The sequence below is a fragment of the Homo sapiens genome, chromosome 10, assembly GCF_000001405.40.
Source record: "Homo sapiens chromosome 10, GRCh38.p14 Primary Assembly".
In the NCBI taxonomy this organism is placed as follows: Eukaryota; Metazoa; Chordata; class Mammalia; order Primates; family Hominidae; genus Homo; species Homo sapiens.
The window spans coordinates 72,781,184-72,805,650 of NC_000010.11; the positions used below are offsets into that span (position 1 = coordinate 72,781,184).

The following is a 24,467-nucleotide window of genomic DNA, read 5'->3' on the forward strand; positions in this document are numbered from 1 at the left end:
AATTCTGGTGAATTGAATTTGTCGGGCAGAGTTTGGAGATAAGAAATTATTGAGGCTGAGGCTACTTGGAGCCAATAGGACATCTTTGTTTAGATGTATAAGCTAATCATCATACTCTTAGCCTGGGCTGCATGCTTTCAGAATTTTTCCCCATGGCTTAACTTTGCCTCTGACACTTTGCTTTCTGCTACAGCCTACTCAGTATCTTAGATTTATTATTTTTAAATGAATCATTGTAGAGTTAAAGTCATCTCTTAAGTCCTAGTCAGGTTATAGGTGGTAAAGATTCCACAAAACCAGAAATACACAGAGCATACAGTATTTGAAGTATCATTCATTTATTCCATGTTTGGTTAAAACAAGCCTTTCGGAGTTTGAGTATTTATGGTTGTTTTCAGAAATAGATGGTCATGTGCATCTGCAAAACTTAAGCAGATGTTTTGTTTTCCTGAGAATCAGTTGAGGCTTAAATATGAGAGCTTAGCCTGAGCTAATTCCTAGGTGAAGAATGAGAGTGACAGGTTACTTAGTTCCCAAATAATACTTCAGAAAAATAGGAACCTACTTTTATGTTATTTCTTTTTTTTTCTTCTTCCTTTGGTTGCTGCAGTATGTTTAAGGTCTTTGCGACTTGGCCAAAGGAATAATGATCTTGGAATCCATTTTAGTGACAGGATCTCTCTGGAAGATCCAAATAGTCAATTCTGACAAAACAAGGACACTGTGCTTTGTGGCCATGAATAGGCTGCAAAAAGGGGAAACTCCTTTTCATCTTCATCAGATGTTTGGGGTCACTTTCATGAAAGAAACCAATGAATGCTACCAGGACACTGCAGACTCCTCCCCACAGTCCCCAGATCATGAGTCTCTATACTCTGCCCCAGAGCTCTCCTTCACCATTGCTGATTCCACAAAAAATACCATGACACACATTCAGATGAGAGGAACACAGCAATTGGCAGTACAAAAGATTGTGCCATATTCCTCCTTAGCCTGCCCCAATACTCCTTTGTGGAGTGCTTATAGAGTTAGAGCGATACTTAAGCTTGTCCATTTCTACTTGTAGAGTGCCCGGTACCTTCATACCCTCATGCTATGTGTACTTCTTCACCCTGTGCTTTTTCAAATACTCTTTTATTCTTTTCCGTTTTTCTAACTCGTACATAATCCTTAAAATCGTGTATCTGTTTTGTTGTTGTTTTTGGAGATGGAGTTTTGCTCTTGTCACCTGGGCTGGGGTGCAGTGGCGCAGTCTCGGCTCACTGCAACCTCTGCCTCCTGGGTTCAAGCGATTCTCATGCCTCCAGCCTCCTGAGTAGCTGGGATTACAGGCACCTGCCACCATACCCAGCTAATTTTTGTATTTTCAGTAGAGGCGGGGTTTCGCCATGTTGGCCAATCTAGTCTCAAACTCCTGACCTCAGGCTACCCGCCTTGGCCTCCCAAAGTGTTGGGATTACAGGCATGAGCTACCACGCCCGGCCCATAATCCTTAAAAATCAAACTGAATTTCTGCCTCTTCTGTGGAACTCATTTTAACTTTTGTTTGCTTATTTAACTTTACAGGGATGTGTGTCTAGTTCCTCTCACTAGTTTCTTGCATATAGGGCTTATGTATTATTCGTATCTTGTCCAGCAAAGCCAGTAGCTTCAGAAGTTATTTTGATTCTAGTGCAGCTGTGTTACTGTGAGCCAACATCCTGCAGAAGGAGTTTAGAAATATTTGTGACTGGTTATGTCTTTCACTGAACCTAAGGCAAACCTGAGCAATTTGCAGAATCAGTTGAGGCTTAAATATGAGAGCTTATATTTAAGCTTCCTATAGGAAAATGCGAAGGGAGTTTCTGGCCATGGAAAAAGGAAATAACTCAGTTTGTTTGAAGTATTTGTGGAATGCACTTTAAGCATAATCAATATTCACCCTAAGTACTTCATTGAATAGTTTGAATGAAACCACCGCATTGTGTGTGCTCCACCTTGGTAGAGAATGTCAATGTGTAGACTTTTCAAATTAGATTTTATCATCTGGCATAGGCATACCACCTAGTTACATTATATGTAGAGCCTCCAGATACTTTAAAATAGATTATGTTTTACATTCCTTCCTATCCTTTCAGAACCATCACCTTCATGTCCAAAACAGTGTGATGCTATTCATTTTAGAATATTATTGAGGACATCACACTGGTGGCTCTTTGAAGGGATGTGTTTTGGACTCAGGTGTGGAACTGCCACATGCCACTTATTCAACTCTTTGGCATCTAGGAGGCTTTGCATATGCCATGTGCCACTTATTCAACTCTTTGGCATCTAGGAGGCTTTGCATATGCCATGTGAATCCTCTCTTCCTAGGAGAGTTTACTTAGTGGAGCAGTGTTGGGATTTCTAGCCTGGTTTCTTCTGAGGAAAAAAACATGTCAAGTTAAACCTTCCAGGATAAAGAGAGGATTTTGTTGGGGGGAGCTGTTGTATCTGAAGTGTTAATATAGAGCAAATGCAGTTTATTTTCTCAAAGGAAGGGAGAGAGATCATGCCAAGAAAAACGCATAGAGTGGGGTGGAGTGGAGTTGGGAAAGAAAATGTGACAAGTACCTAAAATCAAATGCCTATAGGAAGGATTTTCCCCATGATTAGCTCCAAATGTTGGGGAGTGGGGAGGATGTTGCTTGTTTCTTTCTTTATTTCTTTTTAAAAAATTGTTTTACTTTGTTCTTGACTCTTTAGTTTCAAAAGCAGATTAAGGAAAAGCTTATTAGGAAGTCTAGAGCCATAGGCACTATAGAAATTACCAGCCCCCAAAAGTCAATACCCAGTTACTTTACCTTTTTGGCTGTTCCACGTAATTAACCCTGCTGCTTGATCCAAGTGAAGCCGGGGGAAAGCCGGGCACCGTTGGATGGTGTAGCTCCTTGCTTAACCCCTCATGTTGTACTGCAAAGATGAATGCCCACTTACCTGGATCTCTCAGGGGATGACATTTTCCAAAAGAAGATTTTCTTCTGCTCCCTCTTGAGAACAATATAAAGAGTATGTAATTCAGAGAGATTACTTTGAATTTCACTAAAAGGGAAGTACAAAGGCTTTGTTTTTTCAGATCCTATCAAATTAATACTGTCACGTTTGGAAAATGTTGCTCTGTTTTGATAGATCTCTTAGAAGGATGTGTCTTATGCAAATAGTAATTGTGATTTTTAAAGCTAATATAAATGTGATTCATTTACTTAAAATCAAGCCACCTTGTAGCTGTGAGTAATTTTCCCATTTTGTTGAAGGTAAGTACAATTTTTAATTGGCTACATTTGGTTGCAGGAGAGGTTAAAGAATAGATTTAAGTAGGCATGTCTGAAAAGGACAGAAAGTTCCACAAAGCAGTTGTCAGCAGGGATTAGATCTCTGGATGTCCTTGTTTGTCAGGAAAAGCCTTCTGTGTATCCAGTAGCTTCTGAAAATGTTAATGTGGCACTGTGCAGGGAGTCAAGGGAACAGTCTCCTCATTTTCAGTGCAGGATGCTAGGGAAAGCCTGTCCGTATGTGTGCGTGGGTGTGTGAGTGAGGGCTGGCTGTGCACCCTGCCTCTCTGGCTGAAGTAAGTTGCAGAGCAGCTTTGCCTTTTCATGGGCTTGGGTGTGGGGAATCCCTCCTACCAAGAGTATTTTGGGAAATTCCTAAATGCTGATGTGTTCTCAGCTCTATATAATGCCCTTGTTGGAGTGAGGAGCAAAACACACATGGATAATGATTTTAAAGCACCAGTCAACCAATTCCTGGTGTGTGTGTCTTTTACTTGCTTGATAGAGCTGTTCAAGGAGAATCTTGCGTTGTCAAGGATTTTAGGCTTCTACATAGTACAGGGATTGCTCTTCTTTTCCTTTTCCAGGGCTCTTCCTGTCTCTAGATATTTAGCATACAGATGCAGTTTCATGATGTAGCACGAGAATCTCCCACATTTCCACATATATTACACAGTCGGCGAAGCAAGTGGTAGTGGTGGCTGCTCCAGCCAAACCTGGCAGTGCTACTGCCGTCACTTTTCTAATAACCTTGGTGTCTCTGCAACAAGGTTAGTGGTGGTGTTTACCAAAGCTACAACTTTGTTTCTCCTTTCTCTTTCCCTGCTTCTGTTGTCTCCCTGTCTCCCCTCCTGCTGCCCCCTACCACTTAGGTTAATGAACTTCCCTGTGGTATGCAGAAACTAGTCAGACATGCATCTTTAAAACACATTTTAGAGTTTTCAAAAATGTGCATAATAGAAATATATCCTAAAGTTCAAAAACATTCTGAGATTGTCACAGTTAGTGGCAGATTAAGGAAACAGAATATAAAATAGCCAAATATATTCCAGGAAGTCATGCTTGTTGAGTAGGCATTTATCTGACAGATTGAAATGAGCTTCTTTTGTGTGTTGGCTCATAGTCCAGAATTGCAAGTTTTTCACTTTTAGTGTTTATGTAAAATTCTCCTGCTGGCTCATTTCATGGAAATAAAGGCTCACTTCATCTGTAACTTGTATCTGTAGTAAGACCCTTACAAGGGCTGCAATTTTCATCTTGGTTTAATTTGCAAGAAAAACATTATTATGTACGTATAGCTACTTGTTTTAATTTAGTGTCAATTGTCAATGTCGTAGTAGAAATGGATGAAGAAAATCCTTTTGGAAAGGAGATTTTTATAGAAATCAAAGGAGTATTGCCCAGCAACTCTTAATAGGTGTTTACTGAATATATACTATGGGAATGTATTGCACGCTTTAGAGATTCTAAAGAATAACATATCCTTGCCTACAAGGTGTTGCTTACCAATTTGAGGAGATGAAGATTGTCCGTAGAATAGGGACTGAACAAGCACTGTGTGAAAAAACGGTATTATGCTGTGCAATAAAATTTCAAGAATAGGATAATACATAAAGGAACGATTTGCTGTGGAGATCATTTCATTATATGTGAGATTGATGTCCAGAGATGTCATCCAGTTTAGTTAATGTAGTTCTGGCTAGCTGTTTGTGGAATTCTGGCTAGTTTGTTTTTTTAATGTCCTTATCCTGTTTCTTGTGTTATACTTGAACACATCAACATAGAGTGAGAAGTTACTGTTTTTGTTACCTAAAAATGAGTCACATAGTAAAAAGAGATGGGTTGAGAATCAGATATATTTGATTTCAGATCCTGGCTGTGCTCATTCTTAGCTCTGTGTGCTCTGTGTGCCTCAGTTTTCTCATTGGAAGAACTGGAATGTAAGTTACTAATTTACAGATTTGTTGGGATTAAATTATTTTGAAGCATGGCTGGGTGCCATGGCTCTTTCCTATAACCCCAGCACTTTGGGAGGCTGAGGCGGGCAGATCACGTGGAGGTCAGGAGTTCGAGACCAGACTGGTCAACATGGCGAAACCCCGTCTCTACCAAAAATACAAAAATTAGCAGGGCGTGGTGGCAGGCGCCTGTAATCCCAGCTACTCGGGAGATTGAGGCAGGAGAATCGCTTGAACCCAGCAGGTGGAGGTTGCAATGAGCCGAGATTGTGCCACTTCACTCCAACCTGGGCAACAGAGCGAGACAATGTCTCAAAATAAATAAATAAGTAAAAATAAATAAATAAAGTATTTTGAAGCACAAAAGCACTGCTTTTTCAGTTTTCTCACTAAATTTAATCCTCCTGGAAACATGCCATCACTGGTAGAATATTAGGTATTTAGGTTATTTCCCATAGCACTTGTTCTTACACAAATCACCAAATGTGTGCTTTTCCACTCTCTCTTATGAATCCTTACATCCCCAATGTCAAATAGCAAAATAGCAAAGAAAATTTATATATGGAGAGAGAGGGGTTTTTCAAGGACCATATTTTAATCTCACGCTTAAAGGGTAAATTTCTATCCATTTAATAATGTAATAAAAATTATTTTCATGTTAAGCTAAACAAAACATGATTTGAAAGACAAATCTGCTGCATCTTACAAAATAACATGTCCTTCTAAACCCAGCTGAAGTCCTATCTCCACGAAGCCTTCTCTGGCCACTCCCGCCCACGGTAATTTTTTCTCATTGAAAATTCAGTTTCTTTTGGTTATACAAGTTTCACTGAGTTTTTGTTTCGTTTGTTTTTTGAGACAGAATCTCGCTCTGTCGCCCAGGCTGGAGTGGAGTGGCGCAATCCCAGCTCACTGCAACCTCCGCCTCCCGGCTTCAAGCAGTTCTCCTGCCTCAGCCTCGAGAGTAGCTGGGATTACAGGTGTGTGCCACCATGCCCAGCTAATTTTTGTATTTTTAGTAGAGATGGGGTTTCACCATGTTGGCCAGGCTGGTCTTGAACTCCTGACCTCAGGTAATCTGCCCACCTCAACCTCCCAAAGTGCTGAGATTATAGGCATGAGCCACCGTGGCCAGCCAATTTCATTGAGTTTACCTCTCATTTGGCATTTAAGCGTTGTTATAAACCAATATATGTCTATTTTTATTATTGTGTCCTGCCTTGCCAATTAGATTGTAACCTCTTAGCAGCCATAGACCTTGTCTGAGAATTGGTTATTTTCTTTTTTGTTTTTTGTTTTTTTTTTGAGACAGACTCTCGCTCTGTTGCCCAGGCTGGAGTGCAGTGGTGTGATCTCAGCTCGCTGCAACCTCTGCCTCTCAGGTTCAAGCGATTCTCCTGCCTCAGCATCCTAAGTAGCTGGGATTACAGGTGCGCCACCACACCCAGCTAATTTTTGTATTTTTAGTAGAGATGGGGTTTCACCATGTTGGTCAGGCTGGCCTCGAACTCCTGACCTCAGGTGATCCATCCGCCTCGGCCTCCCAAAGTGCTGGGATTACAGGCATGAGCCACTGCGCCCGGCCTAGAATTAGTTACTGTCTTCACAATATCTCGTGGTGCTGTGTACGTGATAGGCAATGAGTTGATACCTGGTGCTTGAGGAAAGTGTTAACAATGTGAAGAAACAAGAACAGGTTCTTTTCTGTGTTCAATTTGTACAGGAGGTTCTGGCTTATTTATTCAATAGGTATAGAGTCCTTATCCAAATAAGTAGCTGCTGACTATGAGTATATGACTCCAGTTGGTTAAACAACTCAATGACTGCTTTTCAGCAGCGCTGAAATGATGGGATTGTAGTGAAAACACAAACACATAGGTAGTAGGCTGGCATAAATGGTTGTACATACAAACTAGTGATGAGTGGCTCATGCCTGTAATCCCAACACTTTGGGAGGCCAAGGCAAGAGGATCCCTTGAGGCCAGGAGTTGAAGGCCAACCTGGGCTATATAATGAGACCTTGTCTCTACAAAAAATTAAGAAACATAGCCAGGTATGGTAGTGCGTGCCTGTAGTCCCAGCTACACGGAACTCTGAGTCAGGAGAATCACTGGAGCCCAGGAGTTGGAGGCTGCAGAGTGTGCCATGATGCACCACTGCACTCCAGCCTGGGCCACAGATTGAGACCCTGTCTCATGAGACCCTGTCTAAAAAAACAAAAACCACAAACTAGTGATGAGTAAAGTTCATCTCGTGCTTTCTATTTGGAAATTTTACACCACATCCATATTTCTAAGAGATGGCTACAGGAAAATGTCTTTTTAGAAAGCATTTCACATTTTGCATTGTCACCTAGTAGCAATTATGTATAGTTGATTCTTGATAAAGTACTTGCTTGCTAGTCCATAGCAAACCGTATTTTAAAAGGTACTGCAGTGAACCAGGTGGTTTGTTGGAATAAACCTCACATTTGCTGAGGAATTGCTGGATATATCTGAATCCCTTCCTTTGACAACAGTCTAGAATGGAGTGTGATGTCTTGGAGCCACTTAAAGACTTATCTTTTTCCCTAAGTGAAAAAGATAAGACTATACTTAGAGTCCTGTAACTTGTTCATTTTTGCTTTCTAGAATGATTGTGTCTACTCCTTGAGCCTTTAAGGAGTAGGTTTGGGGTATTAGATGAGGAAAATTCGAGGGCCAGCTTGTAACTTCTAATTCCTTTTCCTTGGGTGACTGTACCAGTTCTGAAAATGAGATTGAATGGCTAGAGACTTTGGAAACATCAAAGGTACTTAAAGAATATAATCTTAGCACAATAGGTAGTAAGATGTTTTAGGTATAAATAATATGTAATTAAAGTTTTCTTGTTGGTGGTGTGTGTACAAGTTAGTATCTAAGGGTCAAATGACTTGAATTTGAGTGGTTGCCATTACATATTAATTATAATATAACATTCCCAAAATGTCTATAGTTTCTGTGTTATGTTTAGCTACCTTAGCTTTAGCTTCATGTCAAGTATAGGAGCTTATAAGAATTTATAATGCTAGCTTTATGTCATCTTATAGTCTAATCATCTTGTTTTCAACTCTTGAATCAACTTGCTTCAACTTTCAGTTTTCTTTTATGAGAAACTGCTCCATTTTCATACTACATCCAGATAAAAAAGGTCAAACCATGTTTGACACACAAGATTAGTTCTGCTCACCTCAAATGTAAGATTGGTAAAGTTTACCTCCAGGATTCCTAGCTTGCCCTTTCTGTTTCCATTAATCCCTGTTAAGACCTGTTCCCTCATTATTCTCCATCAAATTTTCACCCAGGAAAAAGACTATCAATATCTTAATCTTTGTAACCTTCCTGGGGTTCTGAAATTAGATTCATATTTCTAATAATCTACTTTCTGGCATGAAAGTAGTTTTCCTCTTTTAAAGGCATTTCAGACTTCAAGCCATTTAAATCACACCATACAATATGGAGCACAGGAAAATGAATGTGAAAGCTACCTGGCATAATCAAAGACCTTCAAAAGGATGGCAGCTCCTCTTCTCACTACATGGTCCACTAGCCATTTCTAGTTATACACTTCTGATATATTTGCTGGCTTTGGTTCTAATTCAGACAGTGGTTTGATTCAGCAGACTCTATATGGAACTTGTTCTATGCCATGCACATCATAGAACATTTAAACTGTAGATGTACACATCAGAATTCTGAACTCTGTGTATCTTTCTTAACCCTACAGCATTGAAGTCCCAACAGCAGCATTTTGGTCTAGGTCTAGTATCTGTTTTTCATGTTGCAAAATTCACCAAAGAAGATGGGGGAAAACACATTCCCTGAATCTGTACCCACTGAATGTTGGAATTTGCTATAGAAAGAGAAGAGAAATAATTCTCAGGTAATTCCAGTGCCTTCCCTCTTCCTTCTTCCACACCCAGTTGGGGGCTGGGGGAGAAGCTACATGAATGTTGTATGTATTTTATAACTCCCAGAAGCCTAAACAAACATCTAAAGATTTTGAATGGAATGAAATTTAGGTGAATCATACACACTCCTCTTAGAAATTATGGTATTAAAAAAAGACTGCAACATAATTCTGATGTATTTTATTTTTGAATTCTATTATCTTGTGGATGATTGGAGATGATGATATAAAAGGTATAGAGTTGAAGTATACATCTCTTATTAAATTAAATATCTGATTGCTTGATTAAATAACTGGATATTCCTGGGATTCCCTGGTACTTATTTATTTATAGCTCTGTATCTAGGGAAGGCTGGTGCTACATAATAAAAGCTACTAGGCACGCTTTATGCCACTATGCTCAGAAAGCTTTGATTGCAGAAGTTCTTTTGTGAATAACACCACTTCAGTCGAAATGTAATCTCCTAGGATCTCATTCCAGTATTTATTTTAAATCATAATAGTGCTTTTCATTTTTATTACAGAGAACTAAGAAACAAGGAAACATATTGTGGTCTGACAAAGATAGATCAGGTATTTTGGAAGCATTTTAAAATCTTGAAAGCCTTGCTCTATTCGTATATAATTAGTGTATATTCTTCAGAGTGATTTATTCTCCCCAGAAGGAATAGTGTTCATATTCTATATTCTTGATAGTCTTAGAAGTTGGGGAGAGGGGTGGCAAACATATATTAAAATTTAAAGTGAAATCATCTTCTCATTGTTAAGAGGTAACAAGTAGTGGCACATTTTACCTTTGTTGCCCTGCCTTGTTCCCAACAATTTCAAATTAATGATGAGTATTATATCATTTTAGATCCTTTAAATTTAGGAATGACTATAGTGTCTTAAAATCACATGTATGAAGCTCAGCTGCTGGCTGGCTCTCTCTTACCACAGTTAAAAAGTTGTGCAGAATGGACTGAATTTTAATGTTGTGTATAGACTGTAAACCGTATCCATTAGTATTCATTATTTCACTTCTTTTTGATTTTTACTCTCTTCACAACCTCCCTATCTATACCGTAGTCCAGGGGAAGAATGTCAGTGTTTTTTATGTCAGTCCTTGGATGAATTCTCTTTAGATAATGTTTCTCTTTAGATAATGTTTCTCTTTTCAAGAAACAGTGCTGAAAAGGCTATGCCTTTTCTTTCTCTTTCTTTGAGGTTTTATCTGAGTTATATCGCTTGTGTAGATATAGGATAAGTTATTTTTATTTTTATCCCCAGGAAGCCTTTCAGCCCAGTGTGCTTTCCCATAGTTATTGAAATGCACAAATCACCGGTGCAACTAATCTGAATAATTAGTAACTGAGTACAGGTATACTAGTTGTAAAATTATCTCTGCATCTTTATGTAAGAATATTAATTACATGAACTTATTTTTAATTTTTTCCCTTCTGAACATGTTTTCTTTTATGTAGGAAATTCTTTCTAAATGCCAAAAAAAAAAAAACTAAAAAGATTTTTAAGTGATTCTATCCAGAAGAGATTGCTACCTCAGTTCCTTTTATCAAAAGCAGCTATACATGTAGTAATTTTAAAGAGGGGGGATTTTGAAGTCAAGTTTGAATCCCAGCTCTTCCACTTCCTAGCTGTTTGACCTTTGGGTAAAGTCTTTCAGTATCTCCATGTGAATATGAAAATAGTGTTATAAAACCGAACTGGGGTTTACTTGCCTGGAGCAGCAAAACCAGATATCCACACACATTTTGCAGTGGCAGAAAGAAAGGCATTTATTTGCAGGGCACCAAGCAAGGAGGACCGGGCAGCTAATGCGTAAATCCTTACTTCCTTGGTAGCTTACAGGTAAGGGTTTTTAAAGGCGGGGTAAATTTCAGGAAAGCAGAAGTGACAGACAAAATCATATGTCAATGCATGGAGGTTACACAGTGTTTTTGGCCTAAAAGGACAGGATATTTTGAAGCAGGGGCTTACAGATCATAGGTAGAGTCAAAACTTTTCCGATTTGTGCTTAAGGAAGAGAAGCTTTGTTTAAAAATTTGGAATCAGCGGAAAAGAATGTTAAACTGCTTCCTGGGGATGACTCCCTCCAGGCCTCTCAGGAAGAAATTTAGAACAAAGAAAGGTGGTCAGAGTTCAGCCTTCAGTTCTTCCATATCTGAGGTCTACCTGCCAGTGGATCAGTTCCCAGGGAATCCTAGGTCATGAAAAACTCCCGGTTTTTGAAAAACTCAGGGACATCTCAGGGCCAGGTGCCTGGAATTTCCCTTGAAGGAACTCAGGGTTTTCCTTTATTTATTTCTATGCTTGCCCCACCCCCAATAACTCTCCCTCTCCCCTCCCCCCCACCCCCACCCACTCTCCCCAAAAGGGGCTGCTTGCTTCATCTTAAATAATGTTAAGATCTTCTCAGGAGTTTGCGTCATAGATTGAATGACATCAGTGTGTGTAAGGTACAGTGCATTATAGGGCTAGTGCCCAGTGGACATTAGTGGCAATGATGATTACACTGCCTTTCTTTTTTTTTTTTAAATTGAGATGGAGTCTCACTCTGTTGCCCAGGCTGGAGTGCAGTGGCACGATCTTGGCTCACTGCAACCTCCGCTTCCTGGGTTCACGTGATTCTTTTGCCTCAGCTTCCTGGGTAGCTGGGATTACAGGCGCATGCCACCATGCCCGGCTAATTTTTGTATTTTTAGTAGACACAGGGTTTCACCATGTTGCCCAGTGGTCTCAAACTCCTGACCTCAGGTGATCTGCTCGCCTTGGCCTCCCAAAGTGCTGGGATTACAGGTGTGAGCCACCGTGCCTGGCCTGATTACACTGCTTTTTAAGGCTTACTGCCACAATATAGCTAGGTACCTAGAAATCAGCATTGTCACCAAGGTGAGGGAGAGCCTGCCTCAAATCCTCAGGCAAAATAAAGTCACAGATGAGAAGCCAGATATTGAAACCACTTAAAAAGAGAGAGCAACCAACAAAAGGAAGAAATGGAGGAACTATTAAAATATTTTTATAGAAGCCCAGTAGTTTCGGACCACTTACTGAATAGGCAAACAGTCCTATATACCTTTGTGGCCATGAGGGTTTAATTTATTAAAGCAGGAATATACTGGGTTCTGGTTATCTGTTGCTTTGTAATAAATCAGAATTAGTATCAAAAACAACAACCATCATTTTATTATTATCTCTTAATAGTGTTGGGGGTTGACTGGGCCCAGCAAGGTGGTTCTTGCTTGGAATATCTCATATGGTCACAATCAGATGATGGCTGGTACTTCCTCACACAGATCTAACCGAGGCTGACTATATTAGCTGGGCCCTTGGTTGGGGCTGTAGGCTCGAATATATCTACATGTGGTCTGTGTGACTTAGATTTCCTAACTGCATGGTGGCTGGTATCTAAGAGTAAGCATCCCAAAAGATCCGGGTGTGTTGCTTTTCATGACCTAGCTTCAGAAGTTATATCATTACTTCTTCCATATTTATGGACAGGCCTACTCAGATTCAAGACCCACTTCTTGATGGGAGGAATAACAGCTTGATCATACTGTGAGCTGAGCATGTGAGATGGGATGTATTGTGATGGCCATCTTTAGAAAACATTCACATCCCTCACATATGCAAATTACATTCAATACCTCTATCAGTGCTCCCAATTTACATTCTATTACAGTATCAACTCTAAGTCTAGGATCTCATTATCTAAATCAAGTCCATCCCATTCTAGCAGGTGTTGTTAAAATTTTTTTTTAATTAAAAAAATAAATCAAGTCCATGTTTGATTGAGGCTCCTTGGTCGCAGTTACTTTCATCCAACTTCTTGGGAGTCATTCCTCTTGATTTGAAGACCTTTTACTAAAGAGGTAAGTTATCTGCCCCACATATACACAACATACAGTGGTGGGAAAAACATAGGATCACCACTACAGACCCTCCCATTCAAATAGGGGGAAAACGAGATTCATAGAGTTACTGAATGTTAGCAGTTCTGGAATCCAACCAGACACATGGTGCTATTTCCTTGATTGGGGATCAGTCTTTCTGCCTATGGGGTTGTTTCCTAAGGCTCTTGGTTCTGCCTTCTGGGCTCTTCATTCGCTGAGTCATCCTTGATTCTGCATAAAAGTAGCCTGTTTTTATTGCTGAGTAGTTTTCTTGGCCTATTTCTTGCCTATAGAAAGAAGTTTGGGAAGTCCAAAAGCCTCCCTTCATTTTGTTCTGTTTCTGTCCCTTTCAGTCCAAGCTGATATAATTTCTTTTAAATCTCTGAATTTCTTATGAATCAGTTTATGAATTCAATTCATTAGACAGACCGACACCCCCAAATTTCTAAAAGATAAGCCTCTCTACCTTGAGCTCCCTCTGAGACTACTGTGGAACAAGACCCTTAGGCTTCTTAGAAATCTCTCTTTAATGGAGAGTATCTGTGAGGCCTGCCCTTAAGATCTTTAAATAGCTTCCCCCACCTCCCGTTTGATAGGGTCTATAGAGTACCTATGTAAATCTCCCTGAGTCTTAATAAAATATTTTAAAGGTTCATTCTGGATTTTATATTTGCCCAGAGTGCATTTCTTCATTTGAGAATAGCTTGCTTTTTGGATTGAATGAAAAAAATGTTTATTTTTCAAACCCAGAAAATCCTAGGTTATTTATATTTTCTTAAAATTTTCCTTGAAAATGAGTTTTTAAAATTTATACCACCTCTCTTCCATTTCTATTTAACTATAGACAGCTAGAGGAAGAAAAATAGTACCTTCAAAATTCTGTCCTAAAATCTCCTCATTGAGCTCATTAGGTATATTTCTTATTTTCCACATTACCATAGGTGACTATATTGCCAAGTTTTTCACCACTCTAGCTTCCAATAAAATTTTCCTCACTTTCCTGTAAGTTTTCATCATCACCTTCCTCAGGCCCACCCTGCCTCCACCTGCCATCCCTTCTCAGTCAGTGCCACACATTTTTGGTTTTTGATATGGCATCATCCCACTTCCAGTAATATTGACTCTGGGTTATCAAGTTAAAATTGTTTCATATTCAGTATGTTTTAAGAAAAATGAGTAAATTTTAGAAACTTTTCCATTAAAACTGCTAAAAATTTGAAATGTGTATATATGTATGATACGGTGATTTTAAAAATCTTACTTTTAGAGATGTTGAAATATTAGTGTATAACATGATATAATTTCTGGGACTTATATCAGCAATATATTAGTGGGGGAAATGGAGTGTGGGTACAGTTTGATCGTGGCTCCTGATGACTGAAAATGTTGGTGGCTTCTGATGAGGCATCTATTATGTGGTGTCTGTTTCTTGGCACAAAGGAACAGTGTAGTTAAAAATGCCACTCTGGGGCCGGGCACAGTGGCTTATGCCTGTAATCCCAGCACTTTGGGAGGCTGAGGCAGGTGGATCACGAGTTCAAGAGTTCAAGACCAGCCTGGACAACATAGTGAAACCCTGTCTCTACTAAGAATACAAAAATTAGCCGGGTGTGGTGGCGGGCGCCTGTAATCCCGGGTACTCTGGAGGCTGAGGCAGGAGAATCGCTTGAACCTGGGAGGCCGAGGTTGCAGTCAGCTGAGATCGCACCACTGCACTCCAGCCTGCGCGACAGAGCAAGACTCCATCTCAATGAAAAAAAAAATATGCCACTCTGTAACTGTTAGAGCTCACTGATCCACCAAGAGTTTCTCACAAAACACCAGGAAACCCAGGTCCATACTCTCAGAACCATTGTCTTAAACTGCATGCAGTACTTTAACATTTCTCAAAGAGAAACCTTTAAAACGGTCCAATTGTGGTGACTCATGCCTGTAACCACAGCACTTTGGGAGGCCAGTGTGGGAGGATGGCTTGAGGACAGGAGCTTGAGACCAGCCTGGCCAACATAGTGAGACCCTGTCTCTTCCAAAAAAAGGAAAATTGGCCAGGTGTGATGGCACGCACCTGTAGTCTTACCTGCATGGGAGGCAGAGTCCAGGAATTCGAGGCTGCAGTGAGCTATGATTGTATCACTGCACTTCAGCCTGGGTACCTGAGTGAGACTCTGTCTCTAAAAAACCACAATAACAACAACAACAAAAAACCTTTAAAACAACAATTAAGGAGATATCCTATCGAATACAAAGCCAGAGCTTTAACAGGAAAATTTATTTTGTTAATTTTTTATTTTTAAAGAGACAGGTCTCGCTTTGTTACTCATGTTGGAGTAACATAGCACACTGCAACCTCATCCTCCTAGGTTCAGGTGATCCTCCTGCCTCAGCCTGCCGAGTAGGTAGTACTACAGGTGCGTACCACCACGCCTGGCTACTTTTTAGTTTTTGTTTTTTTTTTTTTTTGTAGAGATGGGGTCTTGCTATGTTGCCCAGACAGGTCTCAAATTCCTGGCCTCAAGTGACCTTCCTGCCTCAGCCTCCTAAAGTGCTGGGATTACAGGGATTTAACAGATAAATTTAAATAATTCTATTTCCTCCTTGACCAAGAATTATTTAACAGAGTTTCAAAATTTCCAGGTGGAATGACTTTATTTTCTGATTTTGTTTTATTGCAATATGATTAAGGATTTTTAAAAAATTTTTGCTACTTCTTAGAATTTATTGATGTTTTCTTTGTAACTTAGTGTTCAGTTTTCATAAATGTTGCATGGACATTTGATAAGAGTTTTGTTTTTTAATTTCAGGGTACAGAGTGCACCCATAATATTGTAGCTTATCGACTAGGTTAAGTAGCCTCATTATTTTTGTCTACATGAACTGCGATGGTCTAAGAAGTAAAAGTCTCCTGTTACTAGTATATTTCTGTATGTTTCAGCTTGCCTTGCTGTTTCTACTTTATAACATACTTTTATTTTATTTTATTTTATTTTTTTTTTAAGACGGGATCTCACTCTGTCACCCAGGCTGGAGTGCAGTGGTGTGATTTTGGCTCACTGCAACCTCCATCTCCTGGGTTCAAGCGATTCTCCTGCCTCAGCCTCCTGAGTAGCTGGGATTGCAGGTGTAAACCACCAAGCCCAGCTAATTTTTTTGTAGTTTTAGTAGAGGCAGGGTTTCATCATGTTGGCCAGACTGGTCTCGAACTCCTGGCCTCAAGTGATCTGCCCATCTCAGCCTCTCAAAGTGTTGGGATTACAGGTGTGAGCCACTGCGACTGGCCATAATATACTTTTTTTTTTTTTTTTTTGAGATGGAGTCTCACTCTGTTGCCAAGACTGGAATGCAGTGGCACTGTGTCGGCTCACTGCAACCTCCGTCTCCTGGGTTCAAGCAATTCTCCTGCCTCAGCCTCCCAAGTAGCTGGGATTACAGGCGCCCACCACCACGCCCGGCTAGTTTTTATATTTTTAGTAGAGACAGGGTTTCACTGTGTTGGCCAGGCTGGTCTCGAGCTCCTGACCTCAGGTGATCCACCCACCTTGGCCTCCCAAAGTGCTGGGATTATAGGCGCCCAGCCCATAATGTACTTTTAATAGCATAAACCACAGTTACTTTTGCACCAAGGTAATAGCTGTGCTATTTGGCACATATATATTCATAATTGTTCCATCTTAGTTGTGAATCATACCTCTTAGGGGGCAGTTTAGATAGCCCCTTAATAGCTGTTAGACCTTGTACATTATCTAACTTCCATGAGCTTCAGATTGACCAAAAAAAAGTACTAATATATAGTTCAATATATTGAGGTTCAAAAATTTTTTAATTATTCTGCTCTATTACAGAGGTAATACATACTCAATGATGTATAAAATTTGGACAATACATAAATGCATAAGGAAAAATGTGCCTATAATGCATACAAAGAAAATAAAACTGTACATAACACGTAAAGGCAGAAAAATTACTCAGTGGGATAGTTTTACTAAACTGAATGCATAAATGGGGAAAAAATACCCATAATCCCAACATCCAAAGGTGCCCACTATTTGTTTGTTTGTTTGTTTGAGATGGAGTCTCGCTCTGTTGCCAAGGCTGGAGTGCAGTGGCGCAATCTCAGCTCACTGCAACCTCTGCTTCCTGGGTTCAAGCAATTCTCCTGCCGCAGCCTACCAGGTAGCTGGGATTACAGGTGCATGTCACCATGCCCGGCTAATTTTTGTATTTTTAGTAGAGGCAGGGTTTCACCATGCTGGCCAGGCTGGTCTCGACTTCCTGACCTCGTGATCCATCCGCCTCAGCCTCCCAAAGTGCTGGGATTACAGGCGTAATCCTAGCATTTTGTATGCTCCTCTCAGGACTTTTTTTCTATATGTATTTAGTTGTTGTTGTTTTTCTTGTTTTTTTTTAGAAATCTTTTCTTACTGGAGTAGTATGTGTTGTTTATAAGTCAAAATAATACAGAAGTGTTACAGAGCAAAAAGTGAAAGCCCTCTCATTAGCAGTTTGATATACATTCTTTCAGACTTTTCTCAGTGCATATACAATGTGTGGATATAATTTAATCTAAAGTATAGAATCATACTGTATATTTTGAATATAAAATCAAACTATATTTAATTTTATAACTTAATTTTTATACCTAAGATTCTGTAATATACTTTGACAGTTGTGTATGTGGATCAACTTGATTCTTTTATTTTTATTTTTTATTTTTTCGAGACGGAGTCTCACTCTGTCACTCAGGCTGGAGTGCAGTGACCTGATCTCGGCTCCCAGGTTCAAGCGATTCTCCTGCCTCAGCCTCCCGAGAAGCTGGGACTATAGGCGCCCGCCACCACGCCCAGCTAATTTTTGTATTTTTAGTAGAGACGGGGTTTCACCATATGGCCAGGCTGGTCTCGAACTCCTGACCTTGTGATTCACCCGCCTCAGCCTCCCAAAATGCTGGGATTACAGGCGTGAGCCATCACGCCCGGCCTCAACCTGATTCTTTTTAAAAGCTATGTAGTTTTCATTGTATTGATATAATTTATTAGATGATTTCCAAATATTCACTATAATTAATAGTATTACAGTGAACATTCATTCATTTAATAAATATTTAATGATTACCTGCTGTGTGCCAAGCACTATTTTTGGTGTTGAAAACTGTGGTAAACAAATGTTAAGTTCCAGCCTTCACAAAGCTGTTCTCTGTAAGCACTCCTAGCTTTGTGTACTCGTGACAATTTCAATATATAACATTTTTTTTTTTTTAAACAAGATGCGGTCTCACTATGTTGCTCAGGCTGTACTTGAATTCCTGGGTTCAACTGATCCTCCCTCCTCAGCCTCCTGAGTAGCAGGGATTACAGGTACATGCCACTATGCCCAACTCAGAACATTTTTTGTAAACAGAATTTTTGGGGCTAAGAGTTCACATTAGATACTGCTAAATCTCTCTAATCTTTTCTCATCTGATAGAAAAAAAAAGGTAAAGCAAAACCCATGTCATTGTTTTTAATAAATGTCATTATTATTAAGATTAAACTTTTTTTTATGTCATTGGCCATTTGTATTTCTTATTTTACGAATTACCTATTCATATTTTAAGGATCACAAATAATATCTGATAAGTAATAATACATTGCTTTTGAAACATATTAGACATATAACATTTGGTTGGATGATTACAGTTCCTATTATTTCATTTATTAATAATCAGTCTTGACAAATACAAGTTCAGCATCTCTAATTCAAAAATCCAAAATCTGAAATGCTCCAAAATCCAAAACTTCTTGAGTGCTGACATGACATGCCAAGTGGAACATTTCACACCTGACCTCATGTAACATGCTGCAGTCAAAACGCAGGAACACAACACACAGTTTGTTCAGGGATCTTAAGGCAAAAAGACCCTCCCCCCAGTGCCTTCCAGTTGCGATGTGTCTTTTCCAAGCACAGCATGATGGTGATGCCAAACAACCACAAATTGTCCACATGGTGGCCGAGATAGTTGAAACCTTTTGCTTTCTGATGGTTCAGTGTATAGACTTTGTTTCCTGCCCACAGTTATTTAAAATATTGTATAAAGTTATCTTTAGCCTATGTGTATAAGGTGTATATGAAACATAAATGAATTTTGTGTTTAGATTTGGGTCCCATTCCCAAAGTATCTCAATATGTGTGAGAGAATATTTCAAAATCCAAAGAATTTTGAAATCTGAAACACTTTTGGTCCCAAGGATTTTAGATAGAGAATACTCAACCGGTAATGCAAAACAGATGGAAAAGCCTGTTGGTCATGTATCAAGATTTATTTACTGAATGACTTAATGAGTCCATATATCTTCCAAAAACCCTGTCTGTAGATTACAGCCTCTGAATTGTTCTTTCAATTTGAAAGGCTGAGAATCACTGATAACAAAAGCAAACATCCTGTAACAGAATACTGAATACAAGAGAGAGCTGTGCCTTCCTAAAGAAATTTTTGAATTCATTTGTGTTTGGATGATCTTTTTTAACCTTGCCGTCATGCATTTTTAATTGATATAATTTACACACAATGAAGTACACAATCTAAGGTGTTGGATTATTTTTTAAATAGTTTCACTGAGGCCTAGCACGGTGGCTCACACCTTTAATCTCAACAGTTTGTGAGGCCAGAAGTTCGAGACCAGCCTGGGCAACATAGCAAGACCCTGTCTCTACAAAAAAATTAAAAAATTCGCTGGGCATGGTGGAACACACCTGTAGTCCTAGGTACTTGAGAGGCTGAGGTGGAAGGCCGGAAGTTTGAGGCTACAGTGAGCTATGATTGATTGCACCACTGCACCCCAGCCTGAACGATAGAGTGAGACCCTGTCTCTTAAAATAAAAAAGTTTCACTGAAGTGAGAAACCAAAAATTTTAGTGTATTTTCACTAATTTGTGGGGGTGGGGATAGGTAGAGGCCATATTCATAGTACTTTGGGCAGTGTTCTCTAGAAAATTTATAGTACTTTTCGTGTTATTATACACTATCACCTATTAAGGTAAGTATTTGGTTAAAGTGCTGTAGAAATGGAGGTGATGAGAGGTTCTCATTGATTACATAATTTCCTAGATAGTATTAACTCATAATGCTTTCTTTTTTTTTTTTTTTTTTGCTGAAAGTATTTTTTAAAGTTAGTAATTGGTTCTGTTGATTTTATAGGTACAGTGTAGTGAATGTAAGTGCCAGCCAGTACTGGAGCTAACATTAGAACTTTACCCTTCTGACTGTAGTTTCATGTTCTTCACATAAACCCTACTTCTGCTTGAGAGGCTTGGACTGACTCTGACCCACAGACTTCTCAGATTATTTTTGATAATTCTTTGCCAGTTTGTTTTCTTTAAAATTGCTACTTCATTCTAACATCCTGTTTCCTGATGAGTCTAGGTTCAAGGTAACTAGGTAACTCTTTTTTTCTTTTTTTTTTTTTTTAATACGCGGTCTCATTCTGTCACCCAGGTTGGAGTGCAGTGGTGTGATCTTGGCTCACTGCAACCTCTACCTCCCAGGCTCAAGCGAACCTCTTGCCTCAGCCTCCCGGGTAACTGAGACCACAGATACACACCACTATGCCTGGCTAAGTTTTTGTATTTTTGGTAGAGACGGGGTTTTGCCATGTTGCCCTGGTTTGTCTTGAACTCCTGAGCTCAAGCAATCCACCCACCTCGGCCTCCCAAAGTGCTAGGATTATAGGTGCTAGCCACTGTGCCCAGACCTAGGTAACTCTTAATTGTGTTTTTACACATTTGTGTGGCATTTCCTTTAAGCCACCTATGTGGTCTTTGAGGAATTGTGATACCAAGCGTTCAACACAAAACTGGAAACTTCCACTATTGAGAGGTTCATCCATTCTGTCCTGAAGGACAACAGGCATTTCCTGCTGTCCTTCTAGGTTTAACTTGTACCTCTTCAGGAGGCACATGGTTCTGGAGGGGCAGGTTTGTAGTGTTCCTGAGGATTTTCCCTGCCTCCTTTTAAACGATCATCTATCATTGCTTCAGTAGCTTTAGCATTTTCGGTGAGTCTTTTGATTCAGTAAAGTATAGAGTAGGGATAAAGAATAAACAAGACAAATTTTATTAGCCTCGTTTTCATTTAAAAATAATATTGTACTTAATTGAAATATAAATGAGCGCTGTTTGAGCTTTCTTTAAAAAAAAAAAAAAAAAAGATGAGTGACTCAGAGCTAACCACTCTGGCTAGAGCTTCTGAATGATGTCTTAAAAGTTCTCCAATAAAACTGACAAGAACAAGGCTGACAAATTTGTAATTTCATCAGAAACTGAGCAAAAGGAAATTTATGGTAAAGATAAATACTTATCCATTGTAGACCATTGGATAGCCACTGCTCTCAGAGCCTGCCTTGCTGAAATATATTCAGTGTGTATATACATACAAAATATTCAGCCTTTGCTTTAAAAGGCAAATAGAACACTATTCCTTTGTATAATCCTTAAAGCTTCACTTTCTGGTTTGTGTTTTATGCCTTTATTTGAACACTAAAACAATATTTGTTTATATGTATATCCCCTTATTCTATATGAAAGATGATCTGGTAAATCTGTTAAATCCTTTACAAAAACATCACCACTCAAACTTACTTTGAAATATTTGCAACTCCTGAGTAATTATGTTGAGTAGCATTTCACTATAGTTTAACCAACAGTGGTTTCATTCCCTGTACAGACATTAGATCGTGTACCAAAAGAATTGTATCTTATTTCACGTATTACTCATGACTCATTGTTTCTGTATTTCACCGAAAATAGACTAATACTCCTTTTCTCCTCTTCTCCTTTGTGGATTTTATTGTAAGAGAAGATAGGCTTAAAACAGAATAATTTTCAGGAGCAAAATTACGTGGGTTTTTCCATCTGGGTAATCCATTTTGGCTTTTATTATTGTGGAGGAGAATATAGCTCATACAGTAGATGGTTTGTTGTTTCTTTTTCCTGCTTGTATTTTTTTTTTAAGAAATGATTTCTTCACAAAATCAGCAACAATTCTCCTTGAATTTTTCTTGTATTTCTTCATCCAGTTGGCTCTCATTTTCCCCCATCTTCTGCTTGCCTATTGTGATACTCAGTGAGCCTGAGGAGCTACAGAACTTTCATTTAAAAATGCAGAAATAGAAACAATTGACAAATGCTTGCCACAAAGAAAAAATTCCAAACTCAAAAATCTGGCCTGTTTAATTTGTTCTGCAGTAGTGTCCTCTGCTATTAATTTATTTATGCAAGCTGTAAAGTCTGAGAAAAGGCTTCTGTTTTTAAAGGCTTTTCAGTTTCTGTTCTCCAATTTTTTTTGTAATAAACTTCCATTTCATATTCTTCTTAATATTTTATTATGAAAGTTGAAAACCTTTATGAAAGTTGGAGTAATGGTTTAATGAATCCCATGTACCCAGTACCTAACTTCATCAGTTACCAACACATAGCCTATCTTATTTCATTTTTACCCCCACTCATTTTTTTGCACACACACAAAATACTGGATTGTTTTATGGAAATTATTTATTGTTTTTCTGTAAATACTTCAATATATTTCTCTGACATGTAAGGGTAGCCACAATACCATAATTAAATCTAAAAATATTAACAGTATTTTTAATATCATAGAATATCTAGTCATGTTTAAATTTTTCTGATTGTCCCATAAATTTACACTTAGCTCATTTTAAATGGAATCCAAACAAGGACCAGACATTGTATTCTTTCTTAATCTGTAGGATCCTTCTCTTTGTTTTTGGAATGTAAGTAAATATATATATATATATATATATATATATATATATATATATATATATATATATATATAAAATAAGAGTGCCAACAATTTACATTTTTTTTTTTTGAGACAGAGTCTCTCACTCAAGCTGGAGTGCAATGGCACAGTCTTGGCTCACTGCAACCTCCACCTCCTGGGTTCAAGTGATTCTCGTGCTTCAGCCTCCCAAGTAGCTGGGATTACAGGTGCCCACCACCATATCTGGCAAATTTTTTTGTATTTTTAGTAGAGACAGGGTTTCACCATGTTGGCCAGGCTGGTCACAAACTCCCAACCTCAGGTGATCTGCCCGCCTTGGCCTCTCAAAATACTAGGATTACAGAAGTGAGCCATCACGCTCGGACAATTTACCTATTTTTAAAGTCAACAAATGGCTCAAATACCACAAAATCCAGAAGAAAAACAAAACATTTTAATTAATTACCTGATACACTTCTATAATACTTTTTGTTCCTGCTTTGTCTTCATACTCTTTGATCACTTCTTCATGTGACAAAGATTTTCTAATATAATTTCTTATAGAGAATAAACCTAATTCAGCCTTTTTCCTAACATAGTTGATTGAAATTTGTTTTTTTGTTGTAGATCACATGCAAAAAAACTGGCAAATTCACATACAGTCACAGTCATTGTAGTATTAATGCACACAGAAGAGTATCAGTTCTATTTTGTGTGATTCCCAACAAAAATGAAAACAAAGTATGTTGCATTGTAATTGTATCCACGTCTTAGCCGATAAATTTCTTCTTACTTATTGGTTGATTGATTGATTGGCTGTGTGCAGTGGTGTGATCACAGCTCACTGCAGCCTCAATCTCCCAGGCCCAAGCGATCTTGCCACCTCAGCCTTCCAAGTAGCTGGGACTACAGGTGTGTGCCACCAGGCCTGGCTAATTTTTTATTTTTTGTAGAGATGAGGATTTGCTGGTTGCCCAGGCTGCTCTCAAACTGCTAGACTCAAGTGATATTCCTGCCTCTGCCTCCCAAAGTTGTGGAATTACAGGCATGAGCCACCTCACCTGGCCCTAGTTTGTTTCTTTCTTTCTTTCTTTCTTTCTCTTTCTTTCTTTCTTTCTTTCTTTCTTTCTTTCTTTCTTTCTTTCTTTCTTTCTTTCTGTCTCTCTCTCTCTCTCTTTCCTTCCTTCCTTCCTTCCTTCCTTTCTTCCTTTCCTTTCCTTTCCTTTTTCCTTTCCTTTTTCCTTTCCTTTCTTCTTTTTTTTTGGAGACAGGGTCTCGCTCTGTTGCCCAGGCTGGAGTGTAGCAGTGTGGTCTTGGCTTACTGCAACCTCTGCCTCCTGGGTTCAAGTGATTCTCATGCCTCAGCCTCCCGTGTAGCTGGGACTACAGGTGCCTGCCACCATGCCCAGCTAATTTTTTGTATTTTAGTGACAACAGAATTTCACCATATTGTCCAGGGTGGTTGAACTCCCAAGCTCAGGCAATCCGCCCACCTCAGCCTCCCAAAGTACTGGGATTACAGGTGTGAGCCACCTCACCCGGCTGCCCTAGTATATTTCTGATGACAGAGAACTTCCATTTTGATAAGGTGTCAATGAGAACCCAATCCTTTGCTTACAGTTTACCCCCTTTTTTTCCCCCTTGCCAT

The 24,467-nt window shown here is 39.1% G+C and overlaps 1 protein-coding gene across 4 annotated transcripts in view, besides 1 other annotated feature; it reads left to right on the forward strand.

Moving 5' to 3' along the window:
• Positions 1-24,467, forward strand: part of MCU (mitochondrial calcium uniporter) — a 195,552-nt gene that overhangs the window by 89,041 nt on the left and 82,044 nt on the right. The gene's annotated exons all lie outside the window — the stretch shown is intronic.
• Positions 2,188-2,482: a silencer, noted in NCBI's record as "tiled region #7737; HepG2 Repressive non-DNase unmatched - State 19:H4K20". NCBI's record gives its function as "represses a minimal TATA promoter and a strong SV40 promoter by Sharpr-MPRA in HepG2 cells {active_cell/tissue: HepG2}" and the evidence as "EXISTENCE:reporter gene assay evidence [ECO:0000049][PMID:27701403]".